We start from the raw sequence: 21,297 nt of genomic DNA on the forward strand, positions 1-21,297 counted from the left end.
AAGAACAGCTATGTGGAAGAATGCCTTGCCAGGCTGTCACCCTCCTTTGTTCTGATAATTTTAGGGCTTAGACTGATTTTTAAAAGTACATATAAAAACTTGCTATGCATTCCAAACTAATTCTCCCACCATACATACTTTAGAAAGAGTTGAGGAATCATACCAGCGCATGGATACGAGAATCCTCTAATATATCAGCTCGGAGGCAGAAGTGGCCTTTGATTTTGTATACATATAATAAGGTTGCCCATATGCACTGATATATATCCAACAATTTAAGAGAATTGGCTTAAGCTGTTCACAGTAGTTCCCAGTTACTATGTCTAGAACACATATTCCATGTGAATTATCCTTTTATTAATAAATCCTAGCGATAAAATGTAAGCTAATGGCCAGGTGCGATGGTTCACGCCTGTAATCCCAGTACTTTGGGAGGCCAAGGCAGGCAGATCATCTGAGGTCCAGAGTTCAAGACCAGCCTGGCCAACATGGTGAAACCCTGTCTCAACTAAAAATACCAAAAAATTAGGCCAGGCATGGTAGCTCACACCTGTAATCCCAGCACTTTGGGAGGCCGAGGTGGGCAGATCACGAGGTTAGGAGATCGAGACCATCCTGGCTAATACAGTGAAACCCCCATCTCTACTAAAAATACAAAAAATTAGCTGGGTGTGGTGGCGGGTGCCTGTAGTCCCAGCTACTCGGGAGGCTGAGGCATGAGAATGGTGTGAACCTGGGGGACGGAGTTTGCAGTGAGCCGAGATGGCGCCATTGCACTCCAGCCTGGGCGACACAGCAAGACTCTGTCTTAAAAAAAAAAAAAAAAAAAAGAAAGAAAAAGGGAAAAATAAAAGGCATGATGTTCTTTCCCCTCAGTAGGTTCAAAGTACTTTTCTATTTGGTGATGACATTAAGCTTTTTCAGAAATTGGTTATCAGTTATGTTTAATCTCTAGTTTTTAAATAAGAGGATTTTTTTAAGGCAGTAACTCAAAATATACCACTGCAAAAAGAATGTAGGTCTTCTTCAAAAGGTGAATTTCATTAAAAGTAAATAGTTTGCTAATCCATAAAACCCCGACAGACAACTGTGCTTCAAATATCTGATAAAAGTTTGATGGAAATAGCTCATCCTAGGGCCTCAGCTATACTGCTATTACCTTTGGTGGCCAAATGCAGAAAGAAAAGCTGAGAGAGTAAGCTCTGGCTTAATGAACTCCCAGACTACACTAGAAGCTACCCAGGGGAGGGAGAGGCCAGATTCATCTTTGGACTCCCAGGGCAGGTGGTACCTGGCACACAGAAGGGTTTCCAGGAATGTTTGTTGAACTGAACAAACTGAGCAAGGTGAACAGCACACAAGAACAGGGGGCAGCCTCCCTGCCCACAGGCCGGGTGCTAAGAGTTGGGCAAGGCCAGGCCTTGCATAAGAGAAAACAAAGCCTGACAGTCCTGGCAGGCTTGCTGGGAAAAGACATCATCATTTTGCTCTGACCCAAATCTTTTGGGTTTCCTCTGAAGATGACTTAGTAATGTTCTGTGGATAAGTTTCAGGGCTTTGATACTGTACCTGAAGTTTTATTCCCATATTTGATCAAATGTAATACTCTTCCGGGATGAAGGTCACCATCAGATTTTCAAAAGAGGATCCTGACCCAGCTGAAGTTCAGAACCTCGGCTAAACCCAGAGCTTCTATACTTGGTGTGAAATACTAGATAACACTAGAGGTTTACCTGAAACTCTTGCTCCAGTTTCTTCTCTATCCAGTCTGTCACATGAACTAAAGTCACTTCTCTCTCTCCAAGTTTTGGCCGAGCTTTCAGCTCCACATGTGGTGGCTTTCGGAAACCATACCTTTTTGAAGACAAGTAATAACCACATTTAGAAGCAAAGCAAGGAATGAGACAGGCACTGACAGCAAACAGTTCTCATTTACATGGGGCTTTATCACTACTTAAAATGTTATTTTCTTCTGAAAATGCCCTCTAAAAATATTCCACACACAAAGTATGAATTGTGAACCCCCTGTGTTCCCTGGATGGTGTTAGGGCTGTGGCGGATTTAGAACAGTTCTGACAAACTGAGAGAGCCAGGAAGCACCACTGGAAAAGTCCATGACCTGGGCATTGGTTTCTGTTTTTTTCTAAAATGGCAATAACCTTTTTTCTTTCAATTTTTATAAAAGTAGTATATGTACATTACAAAAACAAAACATACATACAAGCAGATAAAGCAGAGAGTGAAAGACACACTGCCTCTCTCTGAATGTCATCCCCAAGAGAGGACTATTGACAGAAGTAGGGTGAACTCCCCTTACATTCTCCTGTGCATATGTCGATCAATAAGGTTTGAAACCTGTTTTTTCATCCTACACCCCAACAATACGCTTTGTATGACTTCCCGAGGGAGCAGACTGGCAATCAGAACTGTTGGCAAAGTATCCAGACAAGACCCTGTATGCTATCAACTATCTAAAACCTTAAATCTGTCCTGGACCAGTGCTTTTGGAAATACAGTAAAAATGTCAAGTTGCCATAAATATTTCTAAACACTCTATACTTATCTTTATGGATCAATAACACATAGTTCAGCATTTGAGCATGCCTTGGGTAGCACTATCCTAGAGCCCTTTTATTTTATCTCCCCCTGAGCAGAGGCATTTAAAACTGATAAATCTAAAGAATTGGCAGTAAGGAGAAGAAATGTATCAATTTTAACTATTAAAATTTTTTTAAGGTTTGAAAGACCATACAATATATTAACAGTGGTTATTTCTGGATGGTGAGATTATGGGTTTTTATTTATTTATCTATTTTTCACCTTTTCCCAATCTTTCTCTTTTTTTTAACAATGAAAATATTACTTTAAAAAAGTATAAAAAGGCATTTTAAAGTTTTATTGGGAAATACCAGCATTATCGTTAAATGGTTAGTCAATTCAAAACCCCTCTTCTGATCATTCCTACAAATCCTTCTGAATACCGATGGTATGTACTAGCATGTTGGTTTTACTCTATGATAGAACAGAGCTATATTTTTGTTATGAGTGTAGTTTATGGTACAATGAGATCTCTTATGCAATCACTATTTACACTTATGCCCATTTTTATAGGACTTAGCATGTCAATTTTAAATTGAGATTCACAGGCAGTGATGCTGAACTCATCAGTAATTTATTTCAGTGACTCTCAACCCTGGCTTCATCACCCCCGACCCCTGAAATCCGGGGGGATGGGCCAGGCATAGCTATATTTTTAGCAAGTCCCCAGGTGATTTTAACATGCAGCTGGGGCTGAGAATCCAGTCCTCAGACACCAAATGCACATGCTCCTGACTCCTCAGCATTGAGGCCTAACTCAGGGAAGTCTCCCTAACTTCCCAGACTCTGTTGGATGTGTGATCCCCATCTTTAAAGTAGGGATAACAATGGCATCTACCTCAACAGGATGCTATGAGGACTAATCAGGTAATGCAATTACAACCAGGGCCAGGCAGAGAATAAAGGCGCTATCTACAAATGACAGCTGTTATTACTGGCAGAACAGTTGGCTTTACAGAGGAGGAAGACCAATAATAGAAACAGCTTATCTCATAAACTTCATGTATTGACTTTAACTTTTCCTACCATGTGAACATGAATTCTTGAATGTGAATTCACCACTCACAGAAGAAAGTACCATCAGATTTGCAACTAATATTAAGGTCCCATGAAAATTGTTTGGAAGTGCTTCTGCCCGGGAGAAGGTACTTTCCATAACCTCAAGGTTAAGCAGGCTGGGATTTCTGTGGCCATGCAATAGGAGGAATCACTTATTGTCCCTGAGGGCCCTCTACGCACCATACTCGGTCAGTCGGGGGTGGTGGAATGTTGACCGCCAAGGTTCCTCTACATTCTTGTACTTCAACAGTGAGCAGCAGGGGTGTGTTGGAGACTTCTTCGATCTTCTTTTTAATAAACTCTGTCTCTGTTGCTTTTTGGAAATATTTTGACTTGGTAATTTTATCAACAAACCTCATAATCTTACTTGTTCGATGACCTCCAACGTACCTTCAAATGTGGAACACAAAGGGCGGTTAGCACAAACTTTGCTCTTTTCACAGACAAAAACCTGTGGCTCTTCGTTCCCCTTACTTTAGAGCACCACTCGATGTTTTGGATGTGGTGATTCTGTGTTGGGGCGGGGGGCATCCTGTGCATTGCAGGGTGTTCAGCAGCATCCCTGGTCTCTACCTACCAGATGCCAATAGCACTCCCCCTAGTTATGACAATAAAAAATGTTGCCAGACATCGGCAAATGTCCTCTGGGGGGCCAAATCACCCCCAGTTGAGAACTACTACTTCAGAGAAGGTGTAAATGTCTGAAACAGTCCAAACCTTGACAATGGAGAGCTGGACAAAGTCCTCATGCAGAGGTTTCTCACCTGTCCTCCTTTATACTACTCCAATACCAGACAGAAATCCAATGACATATCAATCTCATAATCTCCATGCAGCAAGTAACAAATCATGCTGCATCAATAGGACATAAATCAGTAATTAATGGACTGTCTTTAGGTGGTGTCACATGGCTACCTTGAGTGGCAATTACTTTTCAAAGGGCTTGGAACTTCTTAAAGAAAAATGTAGCCTGGGCAACACAGTGAGACCCCCATCTCTACAAAAAACAAACAGAAAATTAGCCAGGAGTGGTGGTGTGCATCTGTAGTCCCAGCTACTCGGGAGGCTAAAATGGGAGGATCACTTGAGCCCAGGAGGTTGAGGCTGCATTGAGCTATGATCGTGCCACTGCACTCCAGGCCTGGGTGACAGAGCAAGATGCTGTCTCAAGAAAACAAACAAACAAACAAAATGCTACACCAAGTTGACGTGCTCACAGGCCAAGAAAATAAGCTGTTGTATCAGGTCACATGTACCATGAGACTCAGAAGAAAGGATATTTGCTTTTTAAAATCCCCCACAGTTCCAGAACATGAGGAAAAGTATGTGTTCAGGGAAAAGCAATCATTCTTAAGAGGGTCAAGCAGCTAGACTGTAAATAATACACACAAACTTTGGCACCAACTCCTCAAACATCTGAATTCTCATCTCCTGTAGGATTTCAAAAGTGAATAGGTTGGTTTTTTCTTATAAAAGTTTCTGAATTATTTGGCTTCTTTTAGTTTCTTCAATTCACTTTATGTAATTAAAAGATCATTGTGGATAGGCTATTTAAGCACTTTGATCATTTCACAGCCCAAGTTAACAGGGAAAGAGTAACCCCCTCCAAATGAAGTTCATGATCCAAAAGATCAGCTCAGTCATCAGCGCTTTCAAAACTCGCCAAAGAAAATCATCTGAATGTTTCTGCTTTGCAGGAACTTGCAGCTCAACAGAAGCAAATGCACTCCAGCTGAAGCTGAGGGGAGGGAGGCTCTCCGGGGGGAGGGGGTGTATGCTCGGTTCCTTCTGAAGGCTCAGGGAGATGCTTTTCATCATCAGCACACCCTTCAACTTCTCTATTATTTAATCAAACAGCAGCAGAAAGCCATTTTAGTAAGGAAAGCTATATGGGTCTTTTTGCTTGGTTGCCTGGAATTTAAACAGACCACTGACCTGGGATATTAATAAAAAAACCATCTACTCAACATTAAAGAGGAAGGAAGATCACAGAGGAAGGAAGGGAAACAAGGTTCACTCCCAACTTGCTGTCCTGATCCCTGGAGACTCAGAGGCACAGAAGCACTGATCCACTCACCCTTCAGCCCCTGGGAGGAGCTGTTTGTCTCCCCCGCTGGGCTCTGGGGCATCGTCTTCCTCGGAGGAGCCAGCGCTGGAGGATTCCTCATCGCTGTCCGCCAGACAGAATGCCCGGGGCCTGCAACTGGACAGAGAGAGAGTCACCACCACTGCCTGCCCTCACCCAAGCTCTGCTTAGAAAGAGAACACACACACCCATGCACACACACTCAACCACAACAGGGTCGGGATGTAACTGTTAACTACATCTCGTCATTCTCTCCAACCCACCCAAACCAGAAGAGGCCCAATCCAAGAATCCTTGGATCAGCGCAGATGCTCAGGACACTCTTCAGCACCAAGGCCTCTGACAGGACCACAGAGGCCTTGGACCCAGAAGAGGTTGCTTTTGAGCATGCGTCAGAAGGACAGGAGGTGGGAGTGTGATGCGCACATAAAATGCAGTGATTTCAACCAGCAGTGCAGCGGAGCCACACGGGAGGATGAACAGAAAGAGCGGATGGTTGCAAGAGTGAGGTGACAGCTTATACTGGTGACATGGCCACTTCTCACTGATGATGGGATGTTGAGGCAAGTCCCTTGGCTCTGGCTTAATTCAGCAACTCTGATGCTTTCTGGCTTAGTAACCCTCCAAGTGAGTTTTGACTCATGACTCCTTTCCAGTGAAATTACGTATTTCACTCCACACCTGCCCTATCTCCTGAGGGTCACAGAAAAAGCCAACAACCACATACACACACACACACAAAAAGTCTCAGGAGACTCTAGGAAGCAACTGACATGAGAACCCAGGAAATTTTCCGGAAAAATACATGTCTAAAGACCATTCCTTTGACTGAAGTAAGGGAAAGCCTCATGGGACAGCAGTGTCCCTCACTCAGCTCTCCAGGGCAGATACTCAGTTCCAGAGGTGTGGGGTTGCTGGATTACCCGCAGAGGTGAGGGGTCCAGTTCCCGTCGGAGGGGACCTGGGGGCTTCTGGGCTGAGCCTCGGGCCTATAGAAAGCAGCTTCCTCCCTGGACCGTGGCTTTGCTTCAGAAAGTACTGGCAGGGCTGTGTCTGAGCCCAGAGACTTAAATGGGACAAAATGAACAAGGGACAGAGTAGTCTCTGAACACTATTACACAACCAAATGGTCACCAAGCAGAGGCTGGTCATTGTATTTTTGACAAGGACACAGTTACATGGACAAGGGAAGGCAGTGGGGCTCAGGGCCTATCTCCCTGCAGCTGCAGTCCTTTGGTTTTCCTGATGCTGTCCTTGGGCCACCAGAGGCCCACGGGGACAGTTATCGCCTGACCAACAGGAGCCAAAGGCACCCAAGGGCACAGCACACATGCCAGTGTGGAACTGAAGGCCCGGCAGTGGCCCCAGCCCTGTGCACTGGGAGGGTAGGACTGAAACCTCTACACTGGAAACAGGAGCCGGCTGTAAGAGGACCCGGACTGTGTCCTCCCTGGCAGGACACACAGCTCCTCCCTACCCCCACTCTGAAACATTAGAGCCAGTGCTCCAGCCAACAGGCTGGACTTCCACATTAAAGGGAAACTCCCTCTGCAGAAACAAAAGCCTCTTGTCCCTGGCCATGGGACAGCACGTAACTGAGTCTTCCTCCTTCCACCAGAGGCCTGGCTGGTCCAGGAAATGCTTATGTGTATCCACTGGCTGCAGAGCCATATCAGAGTGTGCTGTGGTTAGGCAGCCCTCACAGGAATCTTATATTTAAAATGTATATAGCAAAATTCAATTCCTATGAAAGCCTAAACCGGGTCTTGGGTGAGGAAAGTCAGAGATGTAAATCCCCAAAGATCACACGCCCCTCTCAGAAGAGCATCAGAGTTCTCCATCAGTAGGATGGCAGTGCCTGAGGCTCTCTGACCTCATGCTGCCAGGTGTGAAATCTGTCCCCACAGCACAGGGAGCCTGCTCCTCACCCACAAAGCACAAAAGGCTGCCTGCAAGCTCTGGGACCCCAGTGAGATCTGCTGAGCCACTGCTCCTTGTGTCCCCACTGGGCCATATCATCTGGCAGCTCCAACCCTGGGCAGAAGATGCCAGAGGCTGAGCGCTGTGGCAAGCTCTCAGGTTACTGAGTTAATCCTCTGCAGGTCACAGAACAGGACAAATTTTGTGGCTTGAAGTGAACACTTTAGGTAATGCTGTACCAGTTCAAGCTGATCAGATGATGTGAAAATCTGATTTTGACCGAGTGGTACCTCTGCTCTCCGCGCTGGGGGCAGTATTATGCGGCACCCAATACTTAGGAATTATAAGTGTAGCCCAGTGTTTGCCTGATATTCATTTTTATAAATGAACATGCATTTTATGACCTCAGCATGAACTTCAGAGGAAGATACACCACACTTACTTGTAGAAGACGTGCTGGAATGTAATTAGCCTACTTGTTTTAAACACACCTCAGAATTCCAGATGAGTGTGGTATCCTTTCAAAGAGACACCTTAAAAGGCTTATTCCAGTTATGTTCCTTCTGCCAAAAATCTTTTGGAAATGTCAGATATATAAGAAAAAGTGAATTATTTTATCACTGACACTCTTAGACCAAATATTTTATTTCTTGGTCTCATAATGACCACCACCTCTGATGACTTCTAGCAATTTCTCAAAGGTCCAAACCATCTACAAAGCAGGACAATTTGCTGTCACTCAGGATAGCTAAAAGAATGTCACGGACTGTGGAGGCAATTCTAAAAAGAAGCCCCCAAAATGCTTTAAATGAAGACGCATAATTAAATTAAGAAGCCCTGTGAGATGTTTGCTTTGAGGGAGACCACACTCAAGAATGCACTAATTTTTCTTTTGAGAAAATCAGTTCTATACACCTGCCACAGGCACACATGTGCATACACACCCACAAACTAGACTGAGTCACAGTGTAAACTGCAGGCACTCAGTGCCCAGAACACCAGGGGCCTGGGGGCAGATGGGTAGTTTGGGGTAGATGTGAACTAGTAACCCAAAAGAGGTCAGATGGGGCCACCTTCTGACTTGGGGACTTGTACAAAGGGCCCAGACTGCAGTGGTGGAGCAGGAAGAGGCCAAGTGCCTTATAGGAAACACTTCACTTCCATGCCACTTTCCATTTAAAGGCCACCCAAAAGGCAGAGCGCTCCCTTTAACTAACTCATTCTGGCCCTCTGCAGGGCAGTTCCTAAAGCAGAGGCTGCTCAGGTTACTATCTCAATCCCATCTGAATGTTGTATGTTATGTTACCTGCAGTGTGCGACAAAAGGACTATTTGGGAAAAGACTAAAGGAAAAATGCCCATGAAAATACAGCAGACACATATTTCAAAGGGAAGAGACTTTGCTAGGGCAAAGCTACACAGGTTAAAATCTCAGTCTAACCCTCAGGGTGCTAACTAAAGGTGAACAAACTTCCTACCAGTAAGGAGGACATCTCACAGGTTAAGCAGCATCTCCTCAGAGACTCCGCAAAAGCACAATCATTTGCACACTTGAACAGGGACTGAGAAAAGCAGTGAGATGAAGCCGAGGCCCTGCCAGGCAGGACACCAGGGAGCAGACCCTGATGTGGAGTGAAGCCCTGGACAGGTGGCCATGGGCTGCAGGGAGAGCCTGCAGGAAAGGGCTGCTGCTGGCCAATTCTTCAGATGTTCCGTGCTTTGGAGGTTTAATATTAAGGAAGATGTCAGTTCCAAAGGTCACACGCTTCAAACAGCTAATAAGTATGCTGACCCCTGTCCCTCCTCTGCTACTAAGCCGCGTGGTGATTCCGTAAACCTCATGACTGAGGAAGTGAAGTGGATTCTGGAATCACTTCTGGGATTAGGTTCTTAACCACGGATGGGCTTTCAGAGATTCACAATGCTCCTAGAAACTGTGAGCCAAATGGTGCATGTGGAAGCATTTGCAGAAAGAAGGACCCAGTGCTCTCAGGTTCCCGAAAGGGTCCTTTCTGAAAAAAGGGGTAAGGGTCCATTTTTCTGGGCCTTTTTCTCCCAAATGAAGTGCTGCTGGATTGTATTCCTCCTTACTTTTAAAAACAAATGATAGCCAACTACACATCAACATATAATTTAACACCCTCACAGGAAGAAGCAAAACATTTTATAACAGACTGTTCTAGAAAAAAATAGTACTTTAGAAATATAAGTGAAATATAATACCATCACATTCCTAAAGCAGAGGATCTTTTTTTCACTCAGTCTAGAGAAGCACAGCTTTCCAGAAACACGTCCACCCTCTGATCGGCCAGAGTTTATGAACTTGAAACTGGGCTACGAGGGCTGCATGAATAGCAGTGAATGTGGACGCATACGTGGCAAGCACCTCAGGGACCGGCCTGGTTGCCACCCCCGGTGCCCAAGACCCCCTTTGCAATGGAGTCCCTGTGCCCCTGTGCCCACATGGTGCTGTTTCTAGAAAGGGCTCCTTGCACAAACGCATCTGCCTGAGGTTGCTCTGCCACACTCCCTTTTTATTAGATCTCATTTTCAAGACTGCTTCTGCTTCAGGTGCTTCATTTTCTAGGCAGCTGGTTCTGCAACTCTGTCGTCATGAGCTAGATTTAATGTGCTCAGCTATGCGTGGGGGTGGGGTGGGGACAGCAGGACAAGGAATTGAGTCTGACTAGATCAGGACTCCAGCAATTCAAATTGGGGAAGTCTATAAGACTTTCCCTGTCAGGAAAGCCTCTTAACTACTCCTGGTGTCGGTTCTCTCAGGCTTTTATGTCCAAGAACGTGATGCCTTTATGTCCAAGAACGTGATGAAAAGACAGGTTTCCTCATGGTTTCACATGGGACCGAACAAGACTCAGAAGTTACAGGGTATGAAATGCTATGTGGAGAGTTGATAAATACCACACTCACCAGAAAATATAAATCCACAGATTGCCGAATCCAAACATATTTTAACAAATAGAAAAATGAAAGGAAAATAGCACAGACACCGGTTAGATTGCATATAGCTGGTAAAATTCTCCAATTATTAAAATAGAAACATTTCATTAAGTAACTTGAATAAATCAGAATAATCTAAGTAAAAGAATATTCTCCAATGCATAACCCAGCTCCCCCAATCTGCTACTACCACAAGCATGAATAAAAGCATTAGGTCAGTACCAGAACCAAGCAAAAGTCTAAGAGCCAGTATCTTATATTTAGACCCCATGGAGGTAGCTCCTTGTGACATTTTCATGTCATCATACTGTTGATTCCATGCAAAGGGCTAAAGATGTGAGAAGTAGCCTCTAGTCAACATTTTTAATTTGGTAAAAACAATAATATAATTTAAATTTATAGTCAAAGCAGTAATTTTAAGGAGAATAGGATGTAAAAGTTCCAGTTTATCTATTCTAGGCATTTAAGAGGGAAAAAAATTAAGCTTCATGAGTTACCTCACAATTTTGGAATATTTACTAAATCAGACAAACCCTAGGCAGCAGATACACTATCTACAAAGAGAGGGATTTACTACGCAAGTCAATATTGTATTATTTAGGGAAAATGCTTCTCAAAACACTTTTAGGAGCACCCTCTGTGCTACAAAATCAATCATCTAATTATAAATAATTCTGACTTTGTGATTAAAGCAGGTAGATTCAGCCTGCTCCACATATTGCTGTTTATGACCGGAAGGATCTTCATGATTCTATTCGAGGATCATTTTATTGCTCGGATGAGTCTGCCCTGCTTGTCTGAGTCAGTGATGTTTTCTGGGTAATCAATTCCATGTGTACCACCACCAGCACTGAGGTCAAAGGCGCTGTCACAGCTGAGCTGGGTTGGGAACTCACAGGCCACTGGGGATGAGACTAGGAAACCATTCCCTGAAATGCTCTGGTCCAGGAGCACTTACACAGAAGCTCACTCAACATCCAGGGGCCACTACACATCAAATCTGCTTCTCAAAGGCTGGAGGGAGAAGCTGGTGCCCCAGGATTGGATTAGTAAATTCATATATAGCCCCTTACCCTTCTTTGCCAATTTCTCCAACCTTCAGGGCTTCAACAAGAGGCTCTTTACCTAGTTTGGTCAAATTCATTTTGGTCTCGAGAGTCATCAGAAAGGACCCATTGTAGGACATTTCCAAATCAATCCAGAGTCCTGGAGAAATGGTGAAAAAACAGAAGGTTTTTTTCCCTCAAAAAAACACATGACTATAAATGACTTACATTTAAAAATATCTAAATAGGCACCATACTGAAAGTCCATGTATCGTCTACTACTCTAGTTGAGAAGAGGACTGAGAGCACATTGTGCCATCGACACACACGAGAACAGGTCATGGAATACATCGAGCCCCTGGTAAACAGCCAGCATCTGAGGACCCATTCACAGGATCCTGGGGAATTCAGTGCACAAGTCAGCATTGGAAGGGTCCCATCCTCTGGCTTCTAAAATCTCCTTGTATTTAGTAAGAAGACATATGCCTAGCGGAAGAAAATGGCTTGACCCAGGGCAAAGCCAGGACAAGGCATGCTGATGCCCAGCCAGTTACGAGGCACAAGGGAAGTGCTAAGACTTCTCTGTAAGCTGGGTTGTTCTTTAAAGACACATATGAGAACCGCTGTCTTTCTTAAAATTCTCCAGTATTGGGAGTGGGACACAGAAAATGGCTCAGATTTAACAGGAAGAGTGACAAAAACGTTTAAGACCTTCCTTTCTTTCTGGAAACTGCCCACTGATGGGAACCAAAGAATTAACTTTCAATTCCCAGGATTATCCAGATACAATTGCATAATCACTTTGTACCTTAGGCTAAAAATCAGCTCCTTAGGAAAGATACTATGCCAATGAGATCATATCTAAAAGGCTTGTAGCTTCATGGAATTTTACTGCAATGGCCGCTGTTCAGTGGTTTAAAATGCAAACAGGGTTTATCTCATGACCCTCTTCTACTTGAGGATTCTATGATTTGTCAAGTATTTTTCTGTGATTTTTCAGACTCGGGGCTCCAGAAGACCTCATGGACTTTCTATCAAAATGTGATCCTTTAAGTGGGTGTTTAAATGTTAATAAACTTTTATAGATCCTCACATGACAAATGACATCTAAAAGGAAGCAGGAAATTAATCTAAAACCATCGTTCACATACAGCATTGTTTTCAAGCAATTACAGTAAACAGCCCATCCCCTACACGGCCACCACCTCAGATAAAACCACTGCTTAACCCCACCCAGCACTAATGGTGTCATTCCTCACTAAAGGCAGGATGATTTCCATTTTGTTTTCAACAAATTCTTTTTACCATAATGGAAGGTAATTATTTTCCATGAATGACCTGGTTTAATTAAGTGATATGGAGATCAATTGTGATTATCTTCTTTGCAGCAATACTCACAAAACTGTTGTATTTCTTGTTTACATTAAGCAGTTAGAAAGAATTAATTAGCTTGCTCTTCAAAGGTACTATTACTGGAAATAAAGGGTATATCTGCTTTAATAAAGACATTTAGTTTTTAATCACTTCAGGAGAAAGGGGATTAGAGCAAAAGGCTAATATTAATAGATTTAAACTCAATGTAAAAGAACAACAATAAAGGAGATATTTATTGTTGTATAGTATTTCCAGCTTTGAAAATTAATATTCAAACTACCTAGTTACTATATACATCCAAACATAATCGTTTCTTTTGAAAATTCTAGTCAAGTTTCTAATAAATATTAATAGTATGCGTTGCCTTTGAAAATGGACATATTAAAGGCACCAGAATTATACTTCTTACAAAATGGAAAGTTTTGCTAGTCTGTTTTTTAAATGAAGATATATGGATTTAGGCTTAGTAAACTGCTGGCTCATGCCCAGTCACGGGGACATTCTACCAAATGATGTGTGGTCCAGCGTCCCTGCCAGGAGCTGGGAGGTGGAGGAAGGCCCAGGGAAGAGCAAGGAGCCCAGTCACATAGATTGGGGCTTGTGTTTCACTGGAAGTTTCTTCACTTCTGTGCCATCAGTACCTTTGTCTGCACCAAGGAGACCTATACTGCCTCTTTCAGGGAGAGCTGTGTACACCCTGGCACCTGGCACAGTCTGACCAGGCAGCCTCCCTTTTTCTGCATTCACCAGCCCACCCTTACTTCTTGCTCTGTCTCCCTTGCTGCTGTTGCCAGGGAAGAGGCTGTACTGGTCAGCCATGGAGCCTGATATCTGAGGATGAGGCTTGGGCATCTGACTGAGCCTCTGCCTGGGTGAGGGGTCTGTTTTAAACACTGAATATACCTCATGAGACCCACTCACAGGGCCCTGCTCAGCCCTGGCACTCATAAAAATATGAAAGAGTCAAGAATGCTTTAAGAACTTTTTTCTTCCCTGAGATGGGGTCTCACTCTCACCCAGGCTGGAGTGCCACCTGGTACGATCTTGGCTGACTGCAACCTCCGCCTCCCAGGCTCAAGTGATCCTCCCACCACAGCCTCCTGAGTAGCTGGGACCACAGGGGTCCGCCACCATGCCCGGCTAACATATATATATATTTTATTTTTGGTAGAGATGGGGTTTTGCCATATTGCCCAGGGTGATTTCAAACTCCTGAGCTCAAGTGATCCACCTGCCTTGGCCTCCCAAAGTGCTGGGATTACTTTGGGAGGTGTGAGCCACTGCACCTGGCCTGGAATGGTTTAAGAACTTTTAAAAGCAGACATGAATGGTAAATAAATATTCCAACAAATGACTCTAATATGATGTGCTTGCATTCAGATGAGGGTAAGAAGACTATTTTAGCATTAAGTGTAGGAGAAATTTGCTTTTGTAACAATGATTCAGCAGGCAGAACGTGACCTGAAAACCTGGGGACACGGGCAACTCCCAAAACTTGGAGCAAAGACCAACCGGTTACGTGACAGGTGAGTCAGGAGGCCCCTGCCTTGCAAGACTGAAAGATGAAATTCACAGTTACTAGAAAGGTTGTCTTCCCCTTGGGGACTAACATAGCAACAATGAGCACACGGGGACATACACTGCCCCATGAGCACCATCTTCCACTGTAACCCAGCTAAATGCTACTTAATCTAGAGGAATGCGGTTACAGGGCCCTTTCTTTTGTAGTCTTGACAAATGGTTAAGACTTAGCTGTAGGCATTTCACTGAAAATACTTTCTATAACCATGTGCCCTGGCTGGTGCTCAAGAACAAAACCAGAAATTGAGGAGTGGGATAATCTTTGATGCCTTTAAATAGGAGTAAGCAGGCAGTCCTGAGAGGTTCTCTGGGAAAGGGGGCTGGAGGCACGCATACGAAGGGTCTATTCCACATCATGTTGAGAGGTTGTCCAGTGGTAACCAGTGGCACCCGATTATTAACGAGCCCCTATAAAACTGGCACTTCAGGCTGGGCACAGTGTCTCACGCCTGTAATCCCAGCACTTTGGGAGGCTGAGGCAGGCGGATCACTTGAGGCCAGGAGTTCAAGACCAGCCTGGCCATCATGGTGAAACCTCGTCTCTACTAAAAATACACAAATTAGCTAGGCATGGTGGTGCGCACCTGTAGTCCCAGCTGCTAGGTACGCTGAGGCACGAGAATGGCTTGAGCCTGGGGGGCAGAGGTTGCAGTGAGCCGCGATCGCCCTACTGCACTCTAGCCTCTGTCTCAAAAGAAGAAGAAGAAAAAAAAAAAAAACCCTGGCACTTCATGCAGCAACACGAGTGACAATGTAGTAAGACTTAGTCTGTGTACAAGGACCTGGAAGGAGCTCAGATGCTGTTTTTCCACTCTTCAGTTTCACAGCGGCAGGATCAATTACCACTACCACCACTACACAGAGACACTGTGGCAAAAATTACAGCTTATTCCACCAAAAAGCGTGTATGCGTTCTTAATGTACAATATCAGAGCCAAAAGCACTGAGATGAACCCCTGCCCTCAGGAAGTGTATGTTTGAAGAAAAATAAAAGTGGCCTAGGCCAGCTGCTGCAGCTCAGACCATGATGCCAGTTGGTATCATAAAATGCCTTGGCGTATGTCCCCACAGATAAGGGGTGGCCACAACCACAAGAGGCTCTTCTGCCTTCGGCCTGGTTTTCCAGTTAACAGACCCCATGGCCTCAGTCCTCCCGTGGCCATGTGAATCTAATAATCTCACACAGCAGTTCACTGTTTTATTACTATTTAGGCATCTGTCTCACTGGAGTAGGCTTGAGAGGGCACCTGCTGCTTGGGAGTAGTTAAGGGAACCAAAACCCTGCACACCTGAACTTGGTCCTCACGTTATTTTCTCCTCCATTTCCTTCTACCTGTAACTATTAACAGCTGATTTCACTCTGAAAGTCAATATTTGGCATCCAAAGAACAAAACTTCTTAAAATGGAACATTTGATAACATTATCAAGAACAGATGTTGGAGTTATTCAGCTCTGGGAAGAACACACCAGTGACTGTTGTGCTCCTGGCAAAGAGACTGGTGCCATATTGCTCATTCAGATACTACAGAAAATTAGCAATTCCTTGTGTGTGGATGTGTCTTTGATGATAGACATCATTTTTAGCCTTATCTACCTGTAACTGTCCTCTGAAATAGAGCTCCACCCCTTCAAGGTTGACAAGCTGCAAATCAGGGTCCCCTGTCCCCCACCCGACCCATGTTCCACAAGAGGTATGATTTCCCCTTCCCACACTAAGCCCTTTCCACACTAAGTGTTTTTCTTCCCGTAGCACAGTCTGGTCAGAGCCACTCCTATCAGCCCCACGTGCTAGAGTATGGCCCTGCCTTGGTGCTCAGGCCCAGGCAGCCCCAGTGGCTGTAGCTGCCCTCTGATGTCACTCTTGAAGCACGTGTGGCAGGAGGAGTGGGCAAGTCATGACTGACTCTGGCTCCAGTTTTCTGTCATTACTCAGGTGGCAAAGTAGCATCACTCCCAACACTGGATGTGAAGGCACCAGGCACACAGGTAGTGGATCCTGGTAGGATCCAGTCTGGAACACTGGATGTGAAGGCACCAGGCACGTGGGTTAAGGTCTGGAATATCAGTCCAGATGACTAAGGGCAGCTCTGGAGACAGACAAGGTTTCTATTTCTGTGGGACATGGTAATATTTCCATAGAATCTGAGACATTCAGTCTAAATTTGGGCTGTTATTTGGTATCTTGAAAACAAGGCAAAACCCAGTCGGGTCCTCTGTCTGTGTGGACACTCAGTGGCTATTTGCAGTTTTAAATTCATGTTGCAAACATCCCGAAGACTAAATGAATTCATCTAAGCCTGAGGGGTTGTGGTCTGCATCCTTGGATCATTCTGACGCTGCTGACACACCTGTGGGCACCTGTTCTGAAACCGCTGGACTCAGGCACAGAAGATAAAAACCTGCTGACAGAAGCGGCCCCCACCCAGCCTCTTCAGGATGATTTTATTAATACTAACACAGTGGCCGGAGAGCAGCAGCTAACACTGATGCTTACTACGTGCCACGTGCTCCGAGTGCTTTACACGTAACACTGCATCTCTACCACACCCAAACGAGGCGGGCAGGACTGCCATCAGCACTTGAAGGATGAGGAAACTGAGGTATAGAGTGGTTAGTGGCTTCCCCACAGTTGTACCGCTGAATGGTGTACGAGCAGGACCCAAACACAGGTGACCTGGCTGTAGAGCCAGTGCTCATGGGCAGCCTCTGATGGGGCCTAGACTCCATGAAACAGGTTGGAAGTGTGAGGCTGCTGCTGACCCGGGCAAGTCACCCCTCTCTGGGCTTTGGCTCATACACACATGGCAGGGTGGATTGAGGCAATCTGACTGCCCTTTCAAGTCTTCCCAGTTCTTCAAGGGTTTTGAAAAAGAGCTATGTTTTCTAAATTTTTAGCCATAAGAAAAAAGATTTGGAGAGCATATACCAAAAATGTACTAAAAAGGTAACCCTGGTTATCTCTGAATGGTGGGATGATGGGTAATATTTTCCTTTTTACCTTTCCTGAATATTTCTGTTTTTCCCACAATGAGTATTTGTTGAATGAATGAACAAACATTACCCTAATGGAGTTAATAAAATGACTGGAAAGAGTTTGGCTGAGTGGCAGGCCCTGGAGGTGGCAGCCCAGGGTAGGGATGAGGGCTGGGTAGAGGAGGCCAGTCTGGTGGGGGAAGGGTAACATACACAGGTTTCTGGACCTTGCTGTGTGGCCTAAAGGAAAGAAAGGAAATCCATATATATCCCACAGGTAGAGCAGCTAGTTCCAGGGTGTGTGTGGAGTGAGGAGGCGTCAGAGCTGAGGCAGGAGGAGCACAGCCAGTTTCTAAGGGACACAGCTTGCCTATCGTCCAGCCATCTGCCTTTGGTGGGAAGTGAGGCTGCTCTGGAAAAGGTGGTCATTTAACCTCATTCAATTCACTTGAGACAGGTTGTGTGTGTTGGAACAGGGACAAGCCAACATGGCCATTGTGTGCGATTTCATTCAGAAGAACCACAGACTTGACTTCTTACAGCAGCAAGGCCATGAAAGCTGAGAATGCCATTTTGTTTTGTTTTGTTTTGTTTTTGTTTATCCTAGTAGGATCTGCCAGCTTTGATCTGTAGGATGGTCAACTGGACACTATGGCCGCCTCCATGCTAAATGCCCTAACAGCAGCATCCAGGCAGCCATGATAATAACAATCCTTAGTTGACATGCATAGAGCTCCTCCTTGCTCCAGATGCTGTTCTAGTGCCTTTTTTGTATTGACTCATTTAATCCTCACGACAAGCTTATGAAGTAGGTGCTGTAAGAATCCCTGTTTGAGCTGGGCGCAGTGGCTCATGCATGTAATCCCAGCACTTTGAGAGGCTGAGGTGGGTGGATCACCTGAGGTCAGGAGTTCAAGACCAGACTGGCCAACAGGGAGAAACCCCCTCTCTACTAAAAATATAAAAATTAGCCAGTCATGGTGGCAGGTGCCTGTAATCCCAGCTACTTGGGAGGCTGAGACAGGAGAATCACTTGAACCCAGGAGGTGGAGGTTGCAGTGAGTTGAGATCATGCCACTGCACTCCAGGCTGGACGACAAGAGTGAAACTCCATCTCAAAAAAAAAAGAATCCCTATTTGAGAGATGAGGAAGTGAAGTGGTTCAGGGGTTTGCCTGAGGCCACGAAGCTGTGGACCAGGTAGTCGGGTCCAGAGCTGGTGCTCAAAACCAGTGCTGCCTCTTGCCTCAAGAAGAGCATCCCTAGGATGGGATAATCCAACCAGTTGTGGCCAAAATATCCCTTCTGAACATATTCCTCCAACAAACAAGCACAAGCCAGGAAATATTTTTAAAAAGAATGTGAGGGGATCCCATAGGAGGTGGCGCTCCTTAGAGCTGTGAAGGCCTCCTTCACCTGGGTCGCATTTCCCTGGAAGGTGAGCTCTGCTTTTCAGAGTCAGTTTGCTTGTCACCCAGATTCAAATTTCACTAAAAGGAAAGATTCCCCCGTAGAGCACTGGAATCCAAAATGCTTATTTATTTCTTTCACGGTCATTTCTGTTTTATCATCATACATGCATCATTTGTGGACTTGGAAAAACCTGATTTGATCAAACTTTGAAAACCCCACTGGCTTTATGTCTTTATCGTTCCTTTAATACCATTTTCTCCCTTGTTACACAAGCAGGCAAGTCTCTAAAAACGTACCCTGAAAGGAGTTAAATAGCCTCAAATGGATTAAAAACTGGCAAAGCTTTGATCTATATAGTGAAATATCTCACCATAGCTCCTGCTCTAGAAGAACAGTTAAGAAGCTTGACACTTAGGTGTTTGGTGAATTTTACTCAAAGCCTGACCAAAGCTGCCCTGAGAGGCTGCAGAGTTCAAAGCCACAGGGGCCTGGTTGTGGCCCTGCTCCCCTCTCCTCGGAAATTTCTACAAATTCAGCAAAGGGCAGTCCTGAGATAAGAGGCTGCTTACACATTAGAAAATAGAGCGTGCACACTTATTATTTAGTTTCTTTAAGCCTCACATGAGGTTTGTGTTAGCTGATCATTCACCAGCTTCTTATACATTTCTAAAGAGGCAAAGAGCAAAAAGGAATAGAGAGGCCACCTGAGTTAGAGGAAGAAAGGTAGCAGCTGTACACTGATGGAGTGAAGATGCTAGCTAGCTATGCAGTGAACACATAGATGGTGCTTTTTTTTTTTTTTTTTGAGACAGATTCTCGCTCTGTTGCCCAGGCCTCAGACTCCCGAGTAGCTGGGATTACAGGCCAGGGTGATGCTAGGGCCCGAGGTTACATCTTCATCTTATTTCTAAAGCTCTGTTATTTTCTTTCTTTCTTTTTTTTAAGACAGAGTCTCGCTCTGTCGCCCAGGCTGGAGTGCAGAGGCACAGTCTTGGCTCATTGCAACCTCTGCCTCCTGGGTTCAAGCTATTCTTGTGCCTCAGCCTACTGAGTCACTGGGATTACAGGCACACACCACCATGCCCGGCTGACTTTTGTATTTTTAGTAGAGACGGGGTTTCACCACGTTGGCCAGGCTGGTCTTGAACTCCTGGTCTCAAGTGATCTACCTGCCTTGGCCTTTAAAAGTGCTAGGATTACAGGCGTGAGCCACCGCACTCAGCCAATGCATCTTTTACAATTTTGCATGGGGTTAAAAACACTCTAGTTCAGCCATTTGCCAAGAATTGAAAGGTTTTCTACTTTTACTTTCAGTGAACCAGAAATTCCCAAACCTAGACACACCCAGATTCATCAAGGTATAGACATAATTGAGGGGTTACAGGTGAGCTCAACATGCAGGAATTAGATGGACTTCTCTGGATGTGCAAATACTACCCTGGTCTTTCTTTCTCTGAAATTGATGTGATGCGAAAAACATGGATGGGTTGTCCACTGAAATATTGCTGGAGAGATATGCTAGAGCTGCTAACTATAGTGCTAGAAAAATCTCTTCATATTTACATCAAATGTACACAACAGCAGAAAAACTGATTTCACTAAACACAATTCAAGAACCATCTGATACAGCCAGAGAGAAAAGTAGCTTCCATGCTCTACAAATTTTATAAAACATTTACTTTAAAACAACTATCACTCTCTTGAAAAGCTATAATTAGTTTTTCTCCTACCTTGTTCCTAAGCCATTTTAGGAAAAATGTAAATATGGTTGAAGTGGAAAGAGGCTCACTTGCCAAGGGAGGCTACAGTAAAAACGTCAGTGAGAATTCTCTCTGCATGCTAATGGGCTATTCTGGCCTACCTGGCTCATTCCTCTTTTTTTACCAAACTCCTGTGTACTAAATTTTCCCTGTCAAGATCCTTTTAAAACCGTATTTATGGTTTATGTGACATAAGAGATACAAATCCTTACATCATCATCATCATCATGTTACACAAACTCTCTACAATCTGATCAACTCTTTAACCCCCCACCCACAAAAGCAGACATAAATAATGTCTTAGTAACATGTTTAAAAACTCAAATCTGAGAACTTTCCTCCAGCAAGGAGCCCTACTCTCAAAATATTGCCTTTGAATATACTGTACGTCTTCATTTCTCAAACATGTACTGAGCACCTACTAGGAGTAGCAAGGAACATAAAGACAGAAGACATGAAAGTCAAAAAATCTGGAACCTACAAGTCAGGAGAGGTAAGGATGTGAACACATGTGAGGAGAGGCAGCTCCT

The 21,297-nt window shown here is 44.5% G+C and overlaps 1 protein-coding gene across 13 annotated transcripts in view; it reads right to left on the reverse strand.

Moving 5' to 3' along the window:
• Window positions 1-21,297, reverse strand: part of TEX2 (testis expressed 2) — a 116,034-nt gene that overhangs the window by 1,881 nt on the left and 92,856 nt on the right. For 10 of the 13 annotated variants that reach the window (NM_001288732.2, NM_018469.5, XM_047436394.1 and 7 more), the window contains exons 8-11: window positions 11,694-11,826; window positions 5,735-5,860; window positions 3,838-4,047; window positions 1,734-1,854 (exon numbers count right to left, since the gene is read on the reverse strand). In NM_001288732.2, the coding sequence (NP_001275661.1) occupies window positions 1,734-1,854; window positions 3,838-4,047; window positions 5,735-5,860; window positions 11,694-11,826 (590 nt within the window). The remainder of the gene's footprint in view (window positions 1-1,733; window positions 1,855-3,837; window positions 4,048-5,734; window positions 5,861-11,693; window positions 11,827-21,297) is intronic. The other 3 variants (XM_017024846.3, XM_011525000.3, XM_047436397.1) reach the window with 1 other exon arrangement.

The sequence above is a fragment of the Homo sapiens genome, chromosome 17 (assembly GCF_000001405.40).
Source record: "Homo sapiens chromosome 17, GRCh38.p14 Primary Assembly".
Taxonomy (NCBI): domain Eukaryota; kingdom Metazoa; phylum Chordata; class Mammalia; order Primates; family Hominidae; genus Homo; species Homo sapiens.